The sequence below is a fragment of the Homo sapiens genome, chromosome 7, assembly GCF_000001405.40.
Source record: "Homo sapiens chromosome 7, GRCh38.p14 Primary Assembly".
In the NCBI taxonomy this organism is placed as follows: domain Eukaryota; kingdom Metazoa; phylum Chordata; class Mammalia; order Primates; family Hominidae; genus Homo; species Homo sapiens.
In genome coordinates this window covers 2,569,878-2,592,526 of record NC_000007.14, presented here as the reverse complement: position 1 = coordinate 2,592,526, position 22,649 = coordinate 2,569,878, and the positions used below count along the sequence as shown (strand labels likewise).

The following is a 22,649-nucleotide window of genomic DNA, read 5'->3' as shown; positions in this document are numbered from 1 at the left end:
GACTGTATGCTGTCTGCGAGCCCCGACTGCTCAGGGCCTGTGAGTCTCTGTATTAAATGCCAGCAACCCTAGAGTGCTTCGCAGAGCCCCTGTCACACGGTAAGGGCTCCTAAGAGGTGGCTCTTGTCACGCCACTTGACAGCATCACAGATCCTTCCAGAAGTGATTTACCTTTCATAATGACTACCTTAATGTTTTTTACCTAATGTCTATGAACTCTGTAATGATTGTTTAATTGGAAAAGCTTGTCGTGAAATACTAATTTTTACAAAGGACCTATCAATTGGCATAAATGCACTCCGAGACCTCACGTGAGGGGTAAGGACAGTGGTGACGGGTTGGCCTTCTACTGTTCACAGCAGGCAGCAGAGAACGTAGCTGGCCGGGAGGCACCGGCCAAGTTTTTCTCAGTCCCTAAAGTACACACAGATCACCTGTAGGGCCGGGCGCGGTGGCTCACGCCTGTAATCCCAGCACTTTGGGAGGCCGAGGCAGGCCCGGGTGCGGTGGCTCACGCCTGTAATCCCAGCACTTTGGGAGGCCGAGGCAGGCCCGGGTGCGGTGGCTCACGCCTGTAATCCCAGCACTTTGGGAGGCCGAGGCAGGCCCGGGTGCGGTGGCTCACGCCTGTAATCCCAGCACTTTGGGAGGTCGAGGCAGGCAGATCACTTGAGATCAGGAGTTCCAGACTCAGCCTGGCCAACATGGTGAAACCCCATCTCTACTAAAAATACAAAAATTAGCCAGGTGTGGTGGCACATGCCTGTAATCCCAGCTACTTGGGAGGCTGAGGCATGAGAATTGCTTGAACTGGGGAGGCAGAGTTTGCAGTGAGCCCAGATTGTGCCACTAAACTCCAGCCTGGGCAACAGAGTGAGATTCTGTCTCAAAAAAAAAAAAAAAAAAAAAATCACCCGCAGATCCCACTGGAAGCAGAGTATGATTCCGAAGGCTGGGGTAGGGCCTCGGTGGCTGCATTCTAACCAGCTCCTAGCTCTTGTTGCTGCTGCTGGCCTCACAGGCCACTCTGAGGGGCAGTCACTGTAGTTCTTGCAAACTAGAGAGAAACATCATTCCAAAGATGATGGAGGTGGCTGATTCATGAAGGAGCCGAGCCCTGAGGAGCTATCAACAGGAGGAGGACAGGAGCCAGGCCGGGTGTTCCACGGCCACAGGTCATGGAACTCCAGAACCCCCGGTGAGGCCCTGCCTTCCCAGCCCTGTGGTCACACCAACTATTTCATAGCATTTATGTCTTCCTTCGTTTTTTTTTTTTGAGACAGAGTCTCACTGTTACCCAGGCTGGCATGCAGTGGTACGATTATAGCTCACGGCAGCCTCGACTTCCCAGGCTCAAGCGATTCTCCCACCTCAGCCTCCCAAATAGGCGGGATTACAGGCTTCAACCACTACAACTGGCTAATTTTTGTATTTTTTGTAGGGACGAGGTTTCACCATGCTGTCCAGGTTGGTCTCGAACTCCTGGACTCAGGCAATCCTGCCACCTTGGCCTCCCAAAGTGCTGGGATTACAGGCGTGAGCCACTGCGTCAGGCTGGAGCATTTATGCTTTATTTCCTACGTATTAATAGATCATATCCCCCATAAACATATTACTGAATTAAGACCATGCTGCATAAAATCGAATTGATTTTACATAAACCAATGAAAGTCAATTCCTCTCTAACAGACAATTTGAAGATTCCTCTGGAATTCAGGGTAGAGAGATTTAAATGTGCTCTCCCACCGTTCCCTACACTTTTGAGTTGAGGTCTCACTCAGTTGCCTAGGCTGGAGTGCAGTGACATGATCATAGCTCACTGCAGCCTCGAACTCTTGGGCTCAAGTGATCCTCTGCCTTGGCCTCCTGAGTAACTGGGACTACAGACATGAGCCACCACGCCCAGTTAATTTAAGAAATTTTTTGTACAGATGGAGTCTTGCTGTGTTGCCCAGGCTGGTCTGAAACTCCTGGCCTCAAGCAATCCTCCCACTTCGGCCTCCCAAAGTGCTGGGATTACAGGCATGAGCCACCGTGCCCGGCCAGTATCTTTTTATCACTAAAGCTGCCTTTATTTTACCACCAAAATGTAAGCAGTTTTAGAATCATATAAAAATATTTATGCAGTGACTACTACGAGCTGAACAGTTTTCCAAATTGACAATTGTTTAACCCCGGCAACAATCAGTTTCCATAGGGAGTGAGAGCTGCTTCCCTGGTGAGGCTGCTGGTGGGGCCTGGGGAGGATCTACTCTCTCTGCAGCACCTGTGCCTGTGGGGACACTGGCGGGGCCTGGGGAGGACCTACTCTCTCTGCAGCACCTGTGCCTGTGGGGACACTGGCGGGGCCTGGGGAGGACCTACTCTCTCTGCAGCACCTGTGCCCGTGGGGACACTGGCGGGGCCTTGGGAGGACCTACTCTCTCTGCAGCAGCTGCTCCTGCAGCGCGGTCCGCTCTTCCTTCAGGTCTCTCACAGCCCCTCGGAGACGCTCGTGGTCCTTGTTGCGGTCCCCTCGTGGCTGTCTGTGCAGCGCAGAGCTGGATGCAAGGCAGGCTGGCGGGTGTGATCTGACTGGCTCTGCGGCGTGTGATTTTGAGCTCTCCATCACACTTAGTTTCTGGAGGCAACACAGACATGTGTTAGATACTAGTTCTCATTTCTACTTTCTATTTACCAAACCCAGAAAAGAGACACTGAACCAGGGCAAACTGAGTCTCCAGCAGGGCCATGAGAAAGCTTTGAGGGGACCCGAGTTACCCAGAGAAGCTGCCGGGCACAAGCTACTGGAAGAGCATGATCCCTGCTCAGTCTCTTTAATCAGAAGTGAGGCACGCGCAGACCCCCGCCAAGCCAGGGCGCAGGCAGAAGTCATTAAAACAGAGAGGAGGGCACGAGGGGAGGGGACTCAAACGACTCTGCACATCTTCCCTCCTGTCCCCTGGAACTGCCGACATTTTCAGCCTTCATGCTTTCAGTCTCGAGTGACATCCTGGTGTCGCCTGCAAAGTGCCGCTGAGCCCGTCCCCGCCCTCCACTCCTGCCTCTCCCGGATCTTGGACGTGCTGCCCACTGTGCTTCCGAACCACCTCTGGGTGCCTTGACTTCCCAACAAGTTCTATATTTTAAATGCCCACAATTTATAGAACCTTTTCTTCTTTTTTTTTGAGACGGGGTCTGGCTCTGTCACCTAGGCTGGAGTGCAATCACAGCTTGCTGCATCCTTGAACTCCTGGGCTCAAGCGTTCCTCCTGCCTCAGCCTCCCAAGTAGCTGGGAATACAGGTGTGCACCACCACACCAGGCTAATTGTTTTTATTTTTGTAGAGATGGGGTCTTGCTATGTTGCCCAGGCTGGTTTCAAATTCCTGGGCTCAAGTAATCCTCCCAGCTTAGCCTCCCAAAGTACTGGGATTGCTGGTGTGAGTCATTGTACCTGGCTAGTTTTCTATGTTGTAAATATGTAAAAAACTATTTTTTAAAAACGTTTTTCCCTCTAGGTTTATTTTGCTTGGCCAAACAACACAGATGCTCTAATTTACTATTTAAAATACAAAGGTCCAGGCCAGGCGCGGTGGCTCACGACTGTAATCCCAGCACTTTAAAGGCCAAGACAGGCAGATCACTTGAAGTCAGGAGTTCGAGACCAGTCTGGCCAACATGGTGAAACCTCATGTCTACTAAAAATACAAAAATTAGCTGGGCGTGGTGGTGGGCACCTGTAATCCCAGCTACTGGTGAGGCTGAGGCAGGGGAACTGCCTGAACCCAGGAGGCAAAAAGTTGCAGTGAGCCGAGATTACGCCACTGCACTGCAGCCTGGGCGATAGAGTGAGACTCCACCTCAAAAAAAAAAAAAAAAAAAAAAAAAAAACCAGCCAGGCACAGTGGCTCACGTCTGTAATCCCAGCACTTCAGGAGGCCAAGGTGGGTGGATCACGAGGTCAGGAGATCGAGACCATCCTGGCTAACATGGTGAAACCCCGTCTCTACTAAAAATACAAAAAATTACCCGGGTGTGGTGGTGGGCACCTGTAGTCCCAGCTACTGGGGAGGTTGAGGGAGGAGAATCACTTGAACTCGGGAGGCGGAGGTTGCCGTGACCTGAGATCGCGCCACTGCACTCCAGCCTGGGGACAGAGTGAGACTCCATCTCAAAAAAAAAGAAAAAAAAAACAAAAACAAAAACAAAACAAAGGTCCAATTCCAATAGAATCAGCCTAATTCCTACTTTGCAGTCGCATAGGGGATGTGGGGAAATGTTCATTTCCCGACATTTCTGCCTGGCCAGGAGTTGGGTCAACAATTTCCTGTGGATTCCAACACGACTTGAGTGGTGGGAAGCAGTGCCTGGTCATCAGCGGGCAGTGCACAGCCCACAGCCTGCACAGGCGGGCTGGACTGTGAGGGGCTCCAGTGCGAAGCGCGTCTGCCTGCGGCCACGCACAGAAGCTCACAGCCCAGCGAGGGGCATGAGAGCTGCCTTCAGCGTTGTCTAGACCTGGAAGAAGTCTCCTTGCGGTCTGTGTGTGGCGCTGCCTGGCAGACAGCCAGTGCCATGCTCAGCGCCACCTTCCGCACCCTGTGAGCCCGTCCCCACAGCATGAGGCCCCTGGTCCCCAACGACAGTGGCACTGAGACGCCCGCTCACCTTCTCCAGCTCCACAATGCGCCTCAGCAGCCGGGGCTTGCTCCACTCCACATAACCTGATGGAAGCAATGCGGTTTCAAAACGGCATCCTGGTGGGCACTGCCAGCAGGGCCACCCTTCTCAGGTATGGCCTGAGGCTCCTCTTCCGCAGCCGGAGCAGCCTGCGGGGCTGCAGAGCCACACCGACAGGTCCTGGCTACCAGAGAATTTTGCCAGCGCTGGCCCAGTCTCTGCCCCCTTGGATCGTGAAGAGATAGATGTCTGTATTAACAGCCTCCAAGCATCTCGGGGTGACATCCTTTCCCGATTCCACCTGGCCAGGCCATTAAGACAGTTCTCATCAAGATCTCCGATGACTGTCAGTCTGCCAAATCCAACAATCGGTTCTCAGCCTGTCCCCTTCCTGGCATGCACAGCCCCTCGCTAGCCACTCCTCCCCTCTGCCTCGCTGGCTGCCCCTCGCCTCCCCCATATACCGCCAAGTTCAGGGCCTGACCCCCTGCTCCTCTCACTCCAGGTGACCTCACTCGATCCACCTAAGTGCTGGTGACCCACATGCTCAGTTCTCCAGCCCAGGCCTCTGCCTCGCACCCCCACACAGCCACTGCCTGGCCCCCACTCCCACACACTCAGACCTCCCGTGGCCTTTCCCCAAACCTGCCCCTCTGCCTCCCCCATCTCAGGAAATAGCAACTCTGTCTTTTTCAGCTGCTGGGACAAAAAGCCTTGGAGCCTGGCTGCTCCCTCTCAGAGCCTACACCCTCTCTGCAGTTTCCCTAAGCTCCAGCTACAAGATGCAACCAGACCCTGAACACCTTTCACCACACCCACTGCTGCCCCCATCCAGGCCACCAGCAGCCCGACTAGACAAGCGCAGAAGCCTCTGTCTGCCACCATCCCCATCTCTGCACAGAAGCCAGGGGGCCTCGGGAAGCAGCACGGCCCCCCTCCACCCTCTGCCTAACACTCCCACAGCACCCCTAAGGCTCCCATGGCACCCTGCCTCGCCCCGCTGGGCCTCAGGGGCCACACTCCACGTGTCTCCCAGGCACTCAGCTCTGCCCCGCCTGTCCCACGCCTGCTGCCGTCTTCATGGCTATCTCGCCCCTTCCAGGTCCCGCTCAGCTGTCACCGTCTTGGGGGTGCCTTCCTGTCAACCCTGCTTGCAGCTGCACACACCACCTGCCTCACCCCAAAATGTGTCCTCCTCCCCTCCTCCATGGCACTTACAGCCATCTGACACATGTCACGCATCTGACCCAGCTCCTCTCTCCCTCCCACAGCATTGTCTCCTCCAGGGATGTCTGTGAGCTTCTGTTTGCGGCTCCATCCCCGGGGCATCGCGTGGCCCGCGGCAGGTGCTGGCACATGTGGGAACTGGCGTTGCCCAAGGGTTCACATCTGCCCTCGTGGTGCCTGTCCTCAGTTGGGCCTACCCAGTGGCCATGCCCTGCCATTCCCTGCCATTCCCTGGCCTCCCTCCTGGAGTGGCTTTCAGGAAGGTACCCTGTGTCTTGGAGATGGTTGGGGAGGTGCTCAGCACGCGGTCCAGGTCCTCCTTCAGGCTCTGGTTCTCTTCCGTGAGCTCCTGGACACTCCGGGACAAGCTCAGGAGGGCACTGCCCATCTTCTTCTGCCTTTTGGCGCCCGTCTTCTTCTCCCCCAGGGGCCTGGAACAACCAAATCGTGGACTGAGGTTTGCATTGCTAAGCTGGTTTCACACATGCTTGAAACGAGGGACAGGTGAATCACAGCTTGCTCTGTTGGTTGTGAGCTCAGAGTGGTTTTTGCAGGTGAGTATTTGAAATCGAATAGGCAGTAATAACTTTGAACTCTAAATAAGCAAAATGTTAGCACCCAAAATGGAACCCCATCCTTATGCAAGGTAAACCTGTGTAACAAAATACCGTGTTCAACCATCAGTATTATACTTTCCATGCCATCACTAGAAGGGCTGTGGAAAGGCATCTTGTTACGCCAGGTGCTTGCAGGATAGCTCGGGTTTCGCCTCTTAGCCCAGGAGGTGTAAAGTACAGTCGATCCTCATTATCTGCAGGTCCCGTAATTGCAAATGTGCTTGCTGCTAAAATGGATCCATCAGCCGAAAATCAATACTCATGCAGGTTTTGTGGGGATTCTTGCACGTGCACAGGTGATGAAAAATGCCAGTCGCTGGCGCGCACGTTCCCAGCTGGGGCTGACCCAGGTGGTGCTCAGCTCCTCACCTCAGCTCAGGTAAAAACAAGTGTGCTTTCTGTGGCCTGCCTGGCGCTGTGGCTCTCACGTTTCTGTGCTGTTTGCTCGTGACGCTGCCTTGCGTGGGCTGGACTGCAGTGCTGAGTGCCGTCCAGTGCCTCTAAGCTCAGGAAGGCTGTGTGGGCCCCCGTGGAGACGCTTATGCGCGTGCAAGAAGCCTCGTTCAGGCCAGCCATGAGTTTGATGAAAATTAATCCACAATCACTATTAAACAGGGTGTCTTTAAACAGAGACACATGTTAGCCAGGTTATACATTGACTAGCTGATGAAAATGCTGTGACCAGGCTGGGCATGGTGGCTCATGCCTGTAATCCTAGAACTTTGGGAGGCTGAGGCAGGCGGATCACCTGAGGTCAGGAGTTCGAGAACAGCCTTGCCAACATAGTAAAACCCCATCTCTACTAAAAATACAAAAATTATCTGGGTGTGGTGGCATGTGCCTGTACAGTCCCAGATACTTGGGAGGCAGAGGCAAGATAATCACTTGAACCCAGGAGGCAGAGGTTGCAGTGAGCTGAGATCACACCACCGCACTCCAGCCTGGGCAACATTTGCCAAAAAAAAAAAAAAAATGTTATGAGCAGAAGCTCGCAGGAGCCCTGTACCTCCCATTGGAGCAGTGGTTTAGTATTCGCTCGTTCTATGTTCATGGAGACTTTATAACTCTGTAAGGCGGACGTGATTACCACTACACTACAGAAACCTGCAGACATTTTATAACTGAATAATGAGAATCGACTGTAGTTAGCATCTGGTCCTTTACAGAAAAAGTTTTCCAACCAGTTTTAAGGATTAGGGGTAAAGAAAAAGGAAAGCAGTCCACGACGTCAGCAAACTGCTGCAGAGGCCAGTGACGTGGCCAAAGCCATGATCAGAGATCAGCCACCCAGAAGCAGATGGAAGCTTTGGGAAAGGGATGTGGGAGATCTACCAGACAAGGAGAACCTCGGTGTTTCTCCTGATAAACTTATTTAGGAAAACATTAGGTGGCAAAGTAAACTTGTCCTTGTGTGCAATGTCTTCCTAAAAAGGTGGCTCTGCTTTGAAACAGCACTTTCTAGCTCTAAGCTGGAAGGCAGGATGTAGAATCTATAACGAACACGGGCGGCATTGAACACGCGTTGGCCATCAACACGTGGTCACTATGAGGAGTCTGTGAACACTGCAAATGGAAACGTGTCAACTCTAACCCTGAACAGAACAGGTGCAGTGTTGGCAGCACTGCCAAGCTAAGGGCAGTATATGCCGCACCCACGTGACAGCCACACATTCTCAGAGGAGCTTCCACAACGTGAAGGCAACACACAAAACACAGCTTGCAAGCGGCCATCATACTTCTTTCCGGTGGTTTCAGAACTTGCCAAGAGGGTCTGGAGACGATGCACCTGTAAATACCAAATTGAAATGCATGAAAACACAAGGCTAGCATGGAGAAGACCTTATCTGAAAAGACCAACATCACAGTCCTGACCGCTGCCTACGGCCAGAAGCGGGAACTAAGTGGCCGCACTTCATCTTTCCGTTGGGCTGAAGCAGGAGCAGGCTCCAGGAGCACAGCTCTGGGCCACCTGGGCTCGGCCCACCACCCGGGGCCAGCGCCGGTCCCCTCCCACTCGGTGCCCGCCCTCCGCCCCGCCACCCAGCACGGTGCCCGCCCTCCGCCCCGCCGCCCAGCTCGGTGCCCGCCCCGCCGCCCAGCTCGGTGCCCGCCCCGCCGCCCAGCACGGTGCCCGCCCTCCGCCCCGCCACCCAGCACGGTGCCCGCCCTCCGCCCCGCCGCCCAGCTCGGTGCCCGCCCCGCCGCCCAGCACGGTGCCCGCCCTCCGCCCCGCCGCCCAGCTCGGTGCCCGCCCTCCGCCCCGCCGCCCAGCTCGGTGCCCGCCCTCCGCTCCGCCGCCCAGCACGGCGCACCTCCTCGTAGTATGTCTCCATGGCGATCCGCATCTCTTCCAGGTTGGTAGTCTTCATATCGGTCTGGAGTTTGCTGAAAACCCAAGTTCAGCGTTAATAGGGATGTGCCAGCGTTCCCAGGGGACAGAGCAAGAGGAAGAGTTTCCCAGAACGTTCAGAAGAGGAGAGGCTTTGGAAAAGACCCAGGATGGGAGGGAAAAGCCTGAACGGGCCTTCATTTGACTTGTTCCTTGAACAAGTGACTCGTTTCGAGCCTGATGGGAGAATTCCTCACGCTGGAAAGCATCTCCTGTGTAGACCAGCCACTTTCCAAAGTGAGTAAACAGCTTTTCCAGAGATATTCTTCTCCAAGTAAGATGCTGTCTTTAAAAGACTAGATTAATGGTGCGGAAAGGCCTTGGAGCTTAGAAAGGACAAGCCGTCTTTGAATGGATGGTTTTGTAAGGAAGAGAGAATCACTTTTCCCTGGCACTGTCAGGCCATCCCCTCGGTCTCAAAAGAGAGTAGACTTTAGATAGACACATCGATAGAGAAACGAAAGCAAAGTCATGGAGGTTCTGCACTGAAATAAGACAAAATCTGCAAACTTAAGTTGACAAAATTCGGCAGGAAACGAGGGGGGAACTATTGTACGAACAGGAGACATAAGGCAATGGACGTGTGGCCTCAGTTTCCCTTAAAGAAACCAAAACACAGCCCAGAAAGACTCTCCCTTCGCACTCGAAAGTCAGGTACAGAAATGCGAGTAGCCACGCCAAAAACAGCACAAGGACGGCGCAGGACTGAGGCGTTAAAACCTCATCCTGGAAAGATACAGGGGTCCACAGAACAAGCAGGTTTCGAGAAAGCATCTTTTAAATATAACAGGAAGAAGTTAAAGGGAATTATCTGGAGGAAACAAAGACAATAAAAAAATTAAAAAGAGGCAGCTAACATTCACCTTCGGCTTTGGGCTGGGAGTAGGGACACAGGACGGGGTGGGGGAGGAACAAAGGCGGGCGTCTGAGCAAGCAGAACACGGGGCGGAAGGCAGGGGAGAGGGTGCAGCCCTGCGCCCACCTGATGGTGCCGTCCTTCTCCTTGCACTGCTGTTCCAGCTTCAGGATCCTCTGCTTCAGCCCGTTAATGACCTGCCCGGGGAACGTGCCCATCAGGCAGGCCACGCCCTCTCTCCCTCAGTAGAAGCGGCTGTCCCCTCCTGCCAGAGCACCGGCACACCTCACTGTCCTTCCTCCCTCCAGCGCTGTGCTCTCTTCTAGACTACGGGCCCAGGGAAGAGGGAGGGCCCCACTGTGCTGTCCTGTCCCTGAGTAAGGCTGGGTGAATGGCAGGGGTGCGACACCGGCTGGAGCAGGAGGTGGCAGCCATCGTGGGCACACTGACCGACTGGCAGCCCTCCCCCAAGCACACTGCACACCTGGGGGACAGAGCAGGGTGTGCCCTTGATTATATTAAATAAAAGAAGCAGCCCCATCACCAGCTGGATAAACCACAGACCTGAAGCCCCTAGGGCCGCCCAGTTCAGTCTCCATGGGGCAGTGAGTGAGGGTGGGAGACAGCGCGGCCGTAGGGGCCTGAGGAGCCACTCCCCTCTATTTGGGGAAGGGAGAACAGCTCCAGCGGCCTCCTCACCTCCTTTTCTGTGAATGTCTTGCTTAGAGGAGACAATATTCTTATATTCTTTAAAGAACATTCTTTTGCCGGGCGCGGTGGCTCACGCCTGTAATCCCAGCACTTTGGGAGGCCGAGGCGGGTGGATCATGGGGTCAGGAGATCAAGACCATCCTGGCTAACAAGGTGAAACCCCGTCTCTACTAAAAATACAAAAAAAAATTAGCCAGGCGCGGTGGCGGGCGCCTGTAGTCCCAGCTACTCGGGAGGCTGAGGCAGGAGAATGGCATGAACCCGGGAAGCGGAGCTTGCAGTGAGCCGAGATTGCGCCACTGCACTCCAGCGTGGGTGACAGAGCGAGACTCCATCTCAAAAAAAAAAAAAAAAGAACATTCTTTTCTTCTAAATAGACAACTTTTAAATAGAGATGGGGTTTCACTATGTTGCCCAGACTGGTGTTGAACTCCTGGACTCAAGCAATCTGCCTGCCTTGGCCTCCCAAAGTACTAGGATTATACGTGTGAGCCACCACACCAGGCTTGAACAGACAACTTTTAAATTGGATTTTAAAGTCATTTTAAATTATGTTAGTTGGCCGGGTGCAGTGGCTCACGCCTATAATCCCAGCACTTTGGGAAGCCAAGGCAGCCAGATTGCCTGAGGTTAGGAGTTTGAGACCAGCCTGGCCAACATGGTGAAACCCCATCTCTACTAAAAATACAAAAAGTAGCCGGGCATGGTGGTAGGTGCTTGTAATCCCAACTACTCAGGAGGCTGAGGCAGGAGAATCGCTTGAACATGGGAAGTGGAGGGTGCAGTGAGTCGAGATCTCGCCACTGCACTGCAGCCTGGGCGACAGAGCCAGACTCAGTCTCAAAATAAATAAATACATAAACAAATAAATTATGTTAGTCATAGATGAATACATTTTCCTTTAAAAAAAGAAGATGTTACAGGGCTGGGCGCGGTGGCTCATGCCTGTAATCCCAGCACTTTGGCAGGCCAAGGTGGGCAGATCACAAGGTCAGGAGATCGAGACCATCCTGGCTAACACGGTGAAACCCCGTCTCTACTAAAAATACAAAAAATTAGCCGGGCATGGTGGCGGGCGCCTGTAGTCCCAGCTACTCAGGAGTAGCTGAGTAGCTGGAGCAGACTCCGTCTCAAAAAAAAAAGATGATGTTATAGAGGCTAAAATACTCTGACCTGGCCACTCCCCTCTTCGGCCAACCAAATCCTGTTTCCGCTTGCGTGCCCCTCAGCACCTGGTTCTGTGCATGGCCGTGTGTGTGCATTCAGGGAGTCAGGCCCTCTGTTCTCACAGAAACGGGGCTCTGCCACACACATCCCTCTGCATCTTTCTTTTTTTTTATTCTAACATTCAACAAATCCTCCTGGTGCTCTGTCCCTGCTGGCGCCTGTGAATCCACACTATTTCCCACAGTATCTCTATCCAGCCTCTATTGATAGACACTTTTTTTTTTTTGAGACAGAGTTTCACTCTTGTAGCCCAGGCTGGAGTGCAGTGGCACGATCTCAGCTCACTGCAACCTCCACCTCCCAAGTTCAAGTGATCCTTCTGCCTCAGCCTCCTGAGTAGCTGGGATTACAGGCACGCGCCATCATACCTGGCTAATTTTTTTGTATTTTTAGTACAGATGGGGCTTCACCATGTTGGCCAGGCTGGTCTTGAACTCCTGACTTCAGGTGATCCACCTGCCTCAGCCTCCCAAAGTGCTGGGATTACAGGCATGAGGAACTGTGCCCGGCAGATAGACACTTTTAAAATCTTTTTTTTTTTTTTTGGCTATGCTCTAAAATCTATCACTGTAGCCTACTGACACATACTTAAGTTGTAGCCCATTTTTGTGATTCTGGTCAATCCTCCAATCGAAATCCTTGGCCAGGCCTCCTCAGGCACATCTGCAAATGTTTCTTGAAGGCAGGTGATGACACGTAGACACGGCAGGCCACAGGGCACAGCCACACTGATGGACAATTTGCCATATGATAATGAATACTGCATATACCCTAGGATCTGGAATTCCTACTTTAAACTAACCTCAGCCAGGTGCAGTGGCTGAGGCCTGTAATCCCAACACTTTAGGAGGCCAAGGCAGAAGGATCACATGAGCCTGGGAAACTTCGCAAGACCCCATCTTACCAAAACTAAAAAAAAATTAGCTGCCTGTGGTGGCACGTGCCTGTAGTCCCGGGTACTCAGGAGGTTGAGGTGGGAGTATCCCCTAAGCCAGGGATCACGTGAGCTGAATGCTGCAGTGAGCCATGATCCTGCCACTGCACGCCAGCCTGGGCAACAGAGTGAGTCCCTGTCTCAAGAAAAAAAAAAATACCCACAGACACACACACACACACACACACACACACACACACACACCACCAGAACAACAAAAACATGGAGCCTTTTCTTTACAAAAGTACCCACTACTTACAGGCATTTGTTAAGGATTTACTTTGTGCCGTCCTAGGTGCCGAGCTAGGCTTTCACCATCTACTTTAAACATGTAATGATTATACAATCTTTCTACATTCTATATCTGTGACATAGTTCAGAGGACACGGCCTTTTTTCTTTAGAGATTTATAGTTTTTTTTGTATTTTCTAAACAGAAAACTTTGTTGTATTGATCCATAATATCCTTCTCCTCCCCCATTACAGTGATCTGGTTGCTACCTTAGTCCCATGGCTTTTTATTATGTAACTTTTAATTTTACATTATCAAATCCATTAATCACATCATTAATGTTATTTTATTCTTTGCGTTCAATAATCTCAAAATCGTATCCCTTTCGGTTTTCTTCCACCATGTCCCACTTTAGAGAAGTACTTCCTTGACTGCTAGGAGGTGTACTGTGCCACCTACAGCTGATCGCCACAGCATTACCACCGAACCGCAACATCTTCCCTGCTTCCATTTCATTCAACTTCTTACATATTGTCACATAGTATCTGAGGGGGGTCTGGATCTATCTGAAGGACGTTATTGCTGCCCTGGTTCCCTGATTTACATCTGTAGCACCTTTTTTTTTTTTTTTTGGTCACCCAGGCTGGAGTGCAGTGGCGCGATCTCAACTCACCGCAACCTCTGCCATACAGGTTCAAGCAATTCTTGTGCCTCAGCCTCCTGAGTAGCCGGGACTACAGGAGCATGCTGCCATACCCGGCTTTTTTGTATTTTTAGTAGAGACAGGGTTTCACAACGTTGGCAAGGCTGGTCTCGAACTCCTGACCTCAAGTGATCTGCCTGCCTCGGCCTCCCAAAGCGCTGGGAGCGCTTGTTAAGCTTAATGTATTTTCTCAGGTGTGAGGGGGAAGTCGCCCGTTGTGATGGGTTTTTCCTACAGTGTCTTGCTTGGCCTCTGTGGTGAGCCTGCTGGCCCCCCTCCCCGTGGTGTCCCCAGGTGTCAGTGGAGAAGGGTTTGGGGGTCCGCAGCCTCCCCCCTGCCTGCTGCTCTTCACGCGTGGGTGCTGCAGGGAAAGGCGTCCCTCTGTGGCTGTCCCCAGTAACTAGCGTCTGGGGAAAGGCTCTGTCCTGCACACACCATACTCACCCAACTGGCATCGGGCCTTTTCTCTGCCAGAGTCCGAACAAAATCCGTGCCCTGTGGTAAGCAGATTGAGACATGAAGACGGCCTTCGGTGTAGCCCCCAGCAGGGCTGGCTGGCAGATGCTGCCCCGAGGACCCTCCCCTTGCCCCGTCCGTGAAGCGCCAGGAGCTTACGCGGCTGGGATCCAGGAGCTGCTCTATCTGCCGGTCCTTCCTGCTGTTTTCCTCCTCCAGGCGCCGGAGCTTCGTTCTCATCAGGTCCACGTCGCTCTTCTGCACGTGCAATGACTGAAGAAAACAAGGGCCATGCACAGCCATCCACACGAAGCTGCGCACACGCCGCACACACGTCCCCGCGCACACAGCCACGCACACGCCAATGCGGGCACGCCGCACACACGTCCCCACGCGCACAGCCACGCACACGCCACTGCGCGCACGCCGCACACACGTCCCCGCGCACACAGCCACGCACACGCCAATGCGCACACGCCGCACACACGTCCCCGCGCGCACAGCCAAGTACACGCCAATGCGCACACGCCGCACACACGTCCCCGCGCGCACAGCCACGCACACGACACTGCGGGCACGCCGCACACACGTCCCCGCGCGCACAGCCACGCACACGACACTGCGGGCACGCCGCACACACGTCCCCGCGCGCACAGCCACGCACACGCCAATGCGCGCACGCCGCACACACGTCCCCGCGCGCACAGCCACGCACACGCCAATGCGTATACGCCGCACACAGGTCCCCGCGCGCACAGCCACGCACACGCCAATGCGTATACGCCGCACACACGTCCCCGCGCGCACAGCCACGCACACGCCAATGCGTGCACGCCGCACACACGTCCCCGCGCGCACAGCCAAGCACACGCCAATGCGTGCACGCCGCACACACGTCCCCGCGCGCACAGCCACGCACACGCCAATGCGGGCACGCCGCACACACGTCCCCGCGCGCACAGCCACGCACACGCCAATGCGGGCACGCCGCACACACGTCCCCGCACACACAGCCACGCACACGCCAATGCGTATACGCCGCACACAGTCCCCGCGCGCACAGCCAAGTACATGCCAATGCGTGCACGCCGCACACACGTCCCCGCGCGCACAGCCATGCACACGCCAATGCGCGCACGCCGCACACACGTCCCCGCGCGCACAGCCACGCACACGCCAATGTGTATACGCCGCACACACATCCCCACGGGCACAGCCAAGCACACGCCACTGCGCACACACCGCACACACGTCCCCACGTACACAGCCATGCACACACCACTGCACACACACCACACACAGCCACGCACACCACACCGCGCACAGGCCCAGGGAAGCACTGAGCTGGGGGATTTGGAAAGCTGCGTGGCTCCCACTCAGGGCTCTGTGTGTGGTGGGTGGGGGGAAATCTGGATGTCACGTGAGGGCACCGGAGGGCACGCCTGGCATTTAGTGGGTGGGGACGTGGAAGGCTGGATAGACAGGAAGTCCCCCACAGAGAAGAACGGTCCCACCCTAGATACCAACGGAACCCGTGATGAGAAACCCCGTCCCACGGAATGCGCGCCTAAACGAATACCGCCAACACCGGGGCTGGACGGTGCCGCACCACGCGTTTTCTCCCATGACCACACAAGAAAGTCCGTTTTGTTCGCATTTTTATCAATAAAACTCATCCAAGGCTAACATGCATTTCAAATGCTCATCCTCAGTTACAGCTCAGGTGGAAGGCAGTGCTTCCCAATCTTTATCTGTGGACAAATTCTTTACCAATTTGTGGTGACGTGAGTGGGGACAAAAAAGACTGTGTAGTCGGGGCCGGGCACGGTGGCTTACCCCTGTAATCCCAGCACTTTAAGAGGCCGAGGTGGGTGGATCACGAGGTCAGGAGTTCGAGACCAGCCTGGCCAGCACGGTGAAACCCCATCTCTACAAAAAATACAAAAAATTAGCCAGGTGTGGTGGCACGCACCTGTAATCCCAGCTACTTGGGAGGCTGAGGCTTGAACCTGGGAGGGGCAGGGTGCAGTAAGCCAAGACTGCACCACTACACTCCAGCCTAGACGAGAGTGAGACTCTGTCTCAAAAAAAAAGAAAAAAAAAGACTCTGTAGTGGATTTCTCACAAAACTAAGTTTATTCAATCTCTACAACTATCCTGTACTTTGAAATTATGTTCTTCCTACTATTTTCGTGGTAAAGTCCAGGAAAGAAACAGCGTGTAGGCTGGGCTGTGCCGCAGCTCACCAGCTCCCAGCCTCAGCCTGCATCTAACCACCAGCCATCCTCATACACGGCCTTCTCCTTGCAAAAGACTGTGGTATTCCAGAGACTGGACCTCTGAGCAAAAGACAATCTGGAATGCACACCCCGCGGGGGCGGCTCGGCACTTCAGCCACATCCACAGCTGGCAAGATCGTTGCAGACAAACCCACAGATTCAGGAGGCATGATAGCAAGCCGGTACTCAGCTTGTGAAGTAAATTAGCGAAGGCCCAGCAGTCAAGGAAGATGGGAGCTCTAGTAACGGGACTGCCGCTTCCAAGAGCGTGAAGCAGATTCACTCCTCCCAATTCCTCCTGTCAGTACCACTCAACACCTGCGCTCCATGTGTAATGCAACCTAAGACTGGAAAGGTGGAGAAGGAGGCGGATGGGCCGGGAGCCGGGGGGCCAGCGATCGACACGGCAGGGAGCTCCTTCAGTTTTCTTTCTGCCTCATCTGAGCTGGATGCTGGAGAAACCAACTGCCTAAAAAAGCCAATGGGTGCAGACCATAAAAACCCACGCAAAGCCTCTTCTCTCCAGCCAGAGGTCAGGGAGAGGAGCAGACCGACAAGGCAGAAACCGACAGGCAGGAACCGCTCTACCCCAGGCAGACCACGGAAAACACCACAGTCCTCCCCACAGCACAGGCTGTGTGGGGAGCCCAGACACTCACCCTTGCCCGGCTGCACCCAGTACCCTCCCCTCCCGCACTGGTGGGGCTCCAGAGGAGGTCGGGCAGAGTCGGGACCATCATTACCTGGCGGCAACAAGGCCATCCCTGCATCAGCAAAGGCTGAGCAGGAGCAGTACAGGTGGCCCTTCCCTCCCAGCTAGGGCGGTGTCAGCACCTTCCCTCCTAGCTAGGGCGGCATCAGCAGAGGCTGAGTGAGGGGCCTGAACTCCCACCCTGCCCAGTGGGAATGAGGAGCCCCTCCCGGTGCAGGTGTCGATGATGGCTGAGTGGGAACTGGACCTCCACCCTCGCGGGTGATAACGAGGTGGTACCCCCTTGACCTACAGGGCAGCGTGAAAGGAGGCCTGCCACAACACAGGATTGAGCAAGAGTCAGAGTCTCGCGATGAAACACTCAGAGCGTCCTGGTTTCAAGGAAATCACTTTTTATACTAAGAACCAAGAATAGCTCAACCTGAATGAAGAAAAACAAGCCATAATGTCAACACTGAGATGGCCTGGACATTGGAATCCCGCCACAGACTTAGGGCAGCCGCCACAAAGATGCGCCAGTGACCAATGACAGGCACGCTTGAAACAAGTGAAGAGGCACAGGGTGGGCGTCTCAGCGAAGACCAAGACAGAAGGAGCCGCACAGAGATTTCAGAACTGAACCGAGACAGTAAGGTTACACCCAACAAACAACGGGCTCAACTGCAGGATGCAGAGGCCAGCAGAAAGCATCCGTGAGCTCGAGGACAGAATAGTGAAGCTACCCGATCTTCACGAGGGAAGACGGAGGGGAAAACACTGAACAGAGACAAGGGACCTGAGCAGCCGTAACCAAAGAGGGCAAGGCTGAAAAAACAACTCAAGACTTGATGACTGAAAATGTCCCAGATTTAACAAAAGACAAACCTATAGATTCAAGAGACTGAGAAAATCCCAAACGAGATAATCCCCCCAATCCACACTGAGTTCATTCAGCGCAGTCTTCCAACCGGAATGAGGATCCCCTCTGTAACATCCCCGACACACAGCTGCCACCTGTGCTCAAAATCTCCATGGCCAGGGTGCGCACTTGCTCCTCAGCAGCGCAGCCTCTGTCAGACAGCTCTCGTGGTTAGAGCGTTCTTCTCACACAGCCTCAAGTCTGACTGTTCTCTCTGGCCAACAGAGAAGGCGCTGTCTTTTGTATAATGGTCTACACCAGGTTCCCCAGTTTCTTCCCAGCTCCCCAATGGAAACGGCTTCCAGATCCTCTTCCGTGCTCTGGGGACGAGGCTGCCAATGCCCTATTGCCCTCTGGTGCCCCAACTGAACGCAGTGTCTCAGACACACATCAACTGGTGGAGACAGTAGCTGTATAAACAGACTAAAATTATGGAAGGAAATGAACGCAGATGATTTCTCCAGGGGCAAACATTTACGGATACTGAAAGCCAGTGTGATGGTCACGGTGCTGGTGGCAGTGACAATGACGATACAGCTCAATGCAGTTCATGCTTTCATAAATGGGAGGGGCCATGGGGAAGTACAGAGTCTTGGCCTTGGGAGGCAGGTGACCTTGAATCTTGGTTCTGCTACTGGTTAACCTTGGACAGACCACTAACGTCGCTGAGTCTCAAGTTCATCAGCAGACTGTGGTTGTAACAAGTGGTTCTGCCCGTCCCACAGAGCTTCTGTAGAGGGCCTGAGACAGGGCATGTGAGATGTCTTGATAACATAAAGCGTGGCATGCATGGAAGGTTACTGATGACTCTACCAGTGACCTTATCACAGTACCCAATCTCAGGACGCAAGGCGACTCTGAAGCTAATCTAGTCCTCATCCAGTCTTCTCCATCGTGCTGGAGAAGCAGAGCACGGATGGAACATGAGCTCTGCTGCCTTTTATGTGCTGGTGCTACGGCCTTTAACCAGGGACACCAGCTCCTAGGGCACTACGCCACGGCTCAAACTCAGGTTCGACCCTAACGCTCCCGCTCTTCCCATCTGGGCACCTCCCAGCACAGGCACTGATGTTCTAATACATTGTTATAGGAAGCTTTCACCGTTTCAAATCAATAGAGAACAAACCGAAATACTACCTTCTTTAACTCAATAATCTCGTCATACATATCTTCTTTTTCTCTGTAGACAGGAGTCCCAGGGACATGACCTAGAGAAACATAAACAAATCGTTTCAAAGACTATCTACAAAGTAGAAAGAATTCTTGGCTATACTTTAAGGAAAACCTGGAAGTTAGTAACATTTCCTTTTAAAAAAGAAGAAAATAAAAAAGCCAAAATAATTCCATGTTTTCCAGCCTGATCATGATACTTCACACCAAGTAGCAAGAAAAGCAAAAATGGTAGATAGAGAGAGATGAAGCAAAAAGTAAATAAATAAACATGTGAAGACCAAGTTTCATGACAGTAAAAGGATGAAAGAAGGGACTCACGGAAGGAGGAGGGACATGTTCAGATTTAAATAGCAAAACAAACAAATACCAAACACAAAAAATGCACAGAGCATCTCAACACCCATTCCAATGTAAAAACAGTCAGGCTTACTTTGGTTTTAATGATACCTAGTATATTAAACATCTAAATTTCAGCCTAAAAGATAACTCCCAACCAGTAAAAGCAGGAAGGTAATCAATTCCTGGAGTACAGTGAGGAGGTTTTCAATACACCCTGGAGGCTGTTCTTCCTTAAGGAGGATAGGTGGGAAACACGTGGATAAAGAGAGAGGCCGGGCACGGTGGCTCATGCCTGTAATCCCAGGATTCTGGGAGGCCAAGGTGAGAGGATCACTTGAGTCCAGGAATTTGAGACCAGCCTGGGCAACACAGCGAGATTCCGTCTCTAAAAAAAAAGAGACTAGGCAGGAACATAAACACAGAAACAAGCTGATTCTCTTTGGTGCGACTTGGACTTTTTATCATTATTTATTTATTAGTATTTGTTCCTAATATCATTTACTCAATGAATAAATTTAAGTACGCCTCTATGTTTAGGGAGGGAGGTACAGATGACACCTGGCGAGATATCCCTGCACCCACGAGGAAAGCTACCTTCTGGGGCAGGCGGGTTTTTGTGAGTCACTGTGTGAGTCACTGCTCCCACGACCTCCCAAAACCTCCCAGTGACGGAGCTCATGCACGAAGCCAGAAATCCTGCTCTGACGAAGGACGCCTCCAGCCCAGAGACTGTCCTTTCCTTTCTGCTCTTCCTTGGCCTCAGCCTCGCCACCATCGGCATGCTCACCGTTGCTGGCAGAGCGCCTGAGATGTGGCCTCTTCACTCTGAAGGTGTCTGTCAGACAGTCAGGAGTGCCGCCGGGGACGCCAGTCCACGCATGCTCCCAGGTGAGGGGTGAGTTCAGGGCCTGGGTCAGACTTCCTGGTTTGAATGTGCATGGGTTTAATATGACAGATACAAGCACACACAATGGGAGGTTTTGTTTCTAATCAACTTTCCTGGATTGAAGAAAGCTGAATCACTGATAGACGCCAGCCGTCAGTGTCGTGCTGGTAAATGGTTAACCAACCAGCTCCCAAATATCAATTAATACAGTCCTGATTACAATGTTTGCCTATTTCCACGGTATACATATTTCTACCATGTCTAATATCAGGTTGCCAGCATGACACTGACCAGCCCACCAAACTCCTAAGACTATAACAGTTGGCTCTGGCAAGACAACTCACCACTCCCATGTAGAGACCACACGGGACCAAGGGAGGCTAAAGCGCCACTTGGCGAAACCACATTTATGCATGACATAAAACTACGATGTGTATATTTGATGTCTTCGAGAAAACTAAAGACAATGTAATTCAAACAAGGAATATTAAAAACTCCATCTCAAACCACTCCCTGAAATTTCTCGAACTCTTCTCTCAAGCAGGAAGGGTCTCCAGTGCGACAACCACATACCTGGCTTTGCGGTTCCCAGCCACAGCTTCTGCGGGGTCAGGGACGCTCGGCCGCCCAGAGGCATGCTCCCTGCCGTCCTGAGGGACCTCCAGGAGGCCACTTTTCTCGGCTTAGAGAGATAAGGTGACTCTGGAAAAGCCAACACGTGGATTCAGAGGTGCCGGACAGCAACATGTGAGCTCAACACATGAACTTCAGAAAGACAGAAATAGGAAAACAAAATCCACGAGCGTGGTGACTCTAGTCAAACATTCTGGCAAAAATGAAAAAAGAGTTACTTTACCTATATACTGACATTTCTCCTTTAACTTTTATTATAAAGAAATAGCATAATGAGGCCAGGCATGGTGGCTCATGCCTATAATACCAATACCTTGGGAGGCTAAGGCAGGAGAATCGCTTGAGGCCAGGAATTCAAGACCAGCCTGGGCAATACAACAAGACCCTGTCTCTATAAAAAATCTAAAAATTAGCTGGGTGTGGTGGCTCACACCTGTGGTCCCAGCTACTCAAGGGGGCTGAGGCAGGAGGATCTCTTGAGCCCAGGAGGTCGAGGCTACAGTGAGCTATGATCATGCCACTGCATTCCAGCCTGGGTAACAGGCTTTTCTTAAGAAAAGAAAAGAAAAGAATGGGAAGAATATAATGGGAAATATATGAATTCTACCAACATTTATTATAGCATTTAATTTCTCACCCCCAATTTTGAGAGATGTGCGTGTTCTTACACACTCACAGCCACAGTGAACACATCGTTTTGTGCCTTTTTAACATGTCACATTTTTAATGTCACTACATAGTGACAGAGCAATATTTAGAACTTAATATGTAAAATATCTAAAATAAATGAGAAAAATCTTACTGTTTCAGGGCATTCTTGATTTTGTATGAAAGTAAGGGAAATGTTTTAAAATTCTTTATCTGAGATTTTCCCTCTTTAAGTATAAAAAAGATAATAAACGTATGCAAAAACTAAGGCACTCTTAAAACATTCTTATATATCTTAAATTGCAAAATGTATGTCAGTAGGGTCTGAAAATTTAAGTCTAATATGTTCAAAATGTTTAAGTTTCTAAGTTTTTCCCGCGGTTTCACAATTTATGTGAAATTCGCCACCGTAACTGTGAATGAGGGAATAAAGACGCAGGGACCCTGCTGCATCTTCACTTACCCGGGACCACAGAACCTGGCCTCCCAGATAGTCTCAAATTCTTCCAAAACGTAAAGATTTAAGTTGTCATTTATACAAGTAAATGAGTGAGCAGAAAAAAGCCCTACACATTACATTTCCCTCCTAAGAGTGTGTGGGCTTATCGGCGAGTAGGAAGGGTTCCTCAGGAAAGCATGAAAGCGGGGATAAAAGCGGGGAGGGAAGAAGAGAGGACGGAGACAGGGTGGTGGAGAGATGCCAGCGTTTGATACTGCCCGGAAAACGACAAACTCGGAAAGCAGGAAAACATCATCGCCTGCCTCGCCCTCCTGGCAGAGTGACCAGGACGATGAAAAGCCTCGGAACGTGGTGGGAGCTGCAAACCTACAAGCAGGTTGACCAGGCCTTGGAGAAAAACACTTGCTGAGTGAACAGGACAGACATGGTCCCTACACTCACGAAACTAGAAACCCGGAGAAAAACAGGTCCCGAGTGTGAGTCAGGAGGCACCCCCGGTCCTGGCCTTTTACTTTATATCAATTCTCAATTTTCTCCATGGAAGGAGAGAAAGGACATCAAAAATCCAAATTGCTAGGTGATTTCCTTCTAGTGTTTATATTGATTTGT

General features: G+C 52.2%; 1 protein-coding gene across 15 annotated transcripts in view, besides 2 other annotated features; it reads right to left on the bottom strand.

Annotated features, from left to right (window-relative positions):
* IQCE (IQ motif containing E) overlaps nt 1-22,649 on the bottom strand; it is a 55,750-nt gene that overhangs the window by 22,202 nt on the left and 10,899 nt on the right. For 11 of the 15 annotated variants that reach the window (XM_017011902.2, NM_152558.5, NM_001410865.1 and 8 more), the window contains 11 exons: nt 20,873-21,001; nt 20,201-20,335; nt 19,039-19,109; nt 14,172-14,285; nt 14,001-14,051; nt 9,877-9,947; nt 8,818-8,890; nt 8,242-8,291; nt 6,156-6,319; nt 4,650-4,705; nt 2,421-2,620 (listed from right to left, as the gene is read on the bottom strand). In XM_017011902.2, coding sequence (XP_016867391.1) covers nt 2,421-2,620; nt 4,650-4,705; nt 6,156-6,319; nt 8,242-8,291; nt 8,818-8,890; nt 9,877-9,947; nt 14,001-14,051; nt 14,172-14,285; nt 19,039-19,109; nt 20,201-20,335; nt 20,873-21,001 — 1,114 coding nt within the window. Of the gene's footprint in view, nt 1-2,420; nt 2,621-4,649; nt 4,706-6,155; nt 6,320-8,241; nt 8,292-8,817; nt 8,891-9,876; nt 9,948-10,449; nt 10,586-14,000; nt 14,052-14,171; nt 14,286-19,038; nt 19,110-20,200; nt 20,336-20,872; nt 21,002-22,649 lie in introns of those variants that run through there. The other 4 variants (XM_011515242.2, XM_047420083.1, XM_024446699.2 and 1 more) reach the window with 3 other exon arrangements.
* Nucleotides 6,998-7,569: an enhancer, noted in NCBI's record as "H3K27ac-H3K4me1 hESC enhancer chr7:2624592-2625163 (GRCh37/hg19 assembly coordinates)". NCBI's record gives its function as "activates a minimal SCP1, AML or CMV promoter by ChIP-STARR-seq in primed H9 embryonic stem cells {active_cell/tissue: H9 hESC(primed)}" and the evidence as "EXISTENCE:reporter gene assay evidence [ECO:0000049][PMID:30033119]".
* Nucleotides 19,676-20,875: an enhancer, noted in NCBI's record as "CDK7 strongly-dependent group 2 enhancer chr7:2611286-2612485 (GRCh37/hg19 assembly coordinates)". NCBI's record gives its function as "activates an origin of replication core promoter dependent on BRD2, BRD4, P300/CBP, MED14 and CDK7 cofactors, with strong dependence on CDK7, by STARR-seq in HCT116 cells {active_cell/tissue: HCT116}" and the evidence as "EXISTENCE:reporter gene assay evidence [ECO:0000049][PMID:35650434]".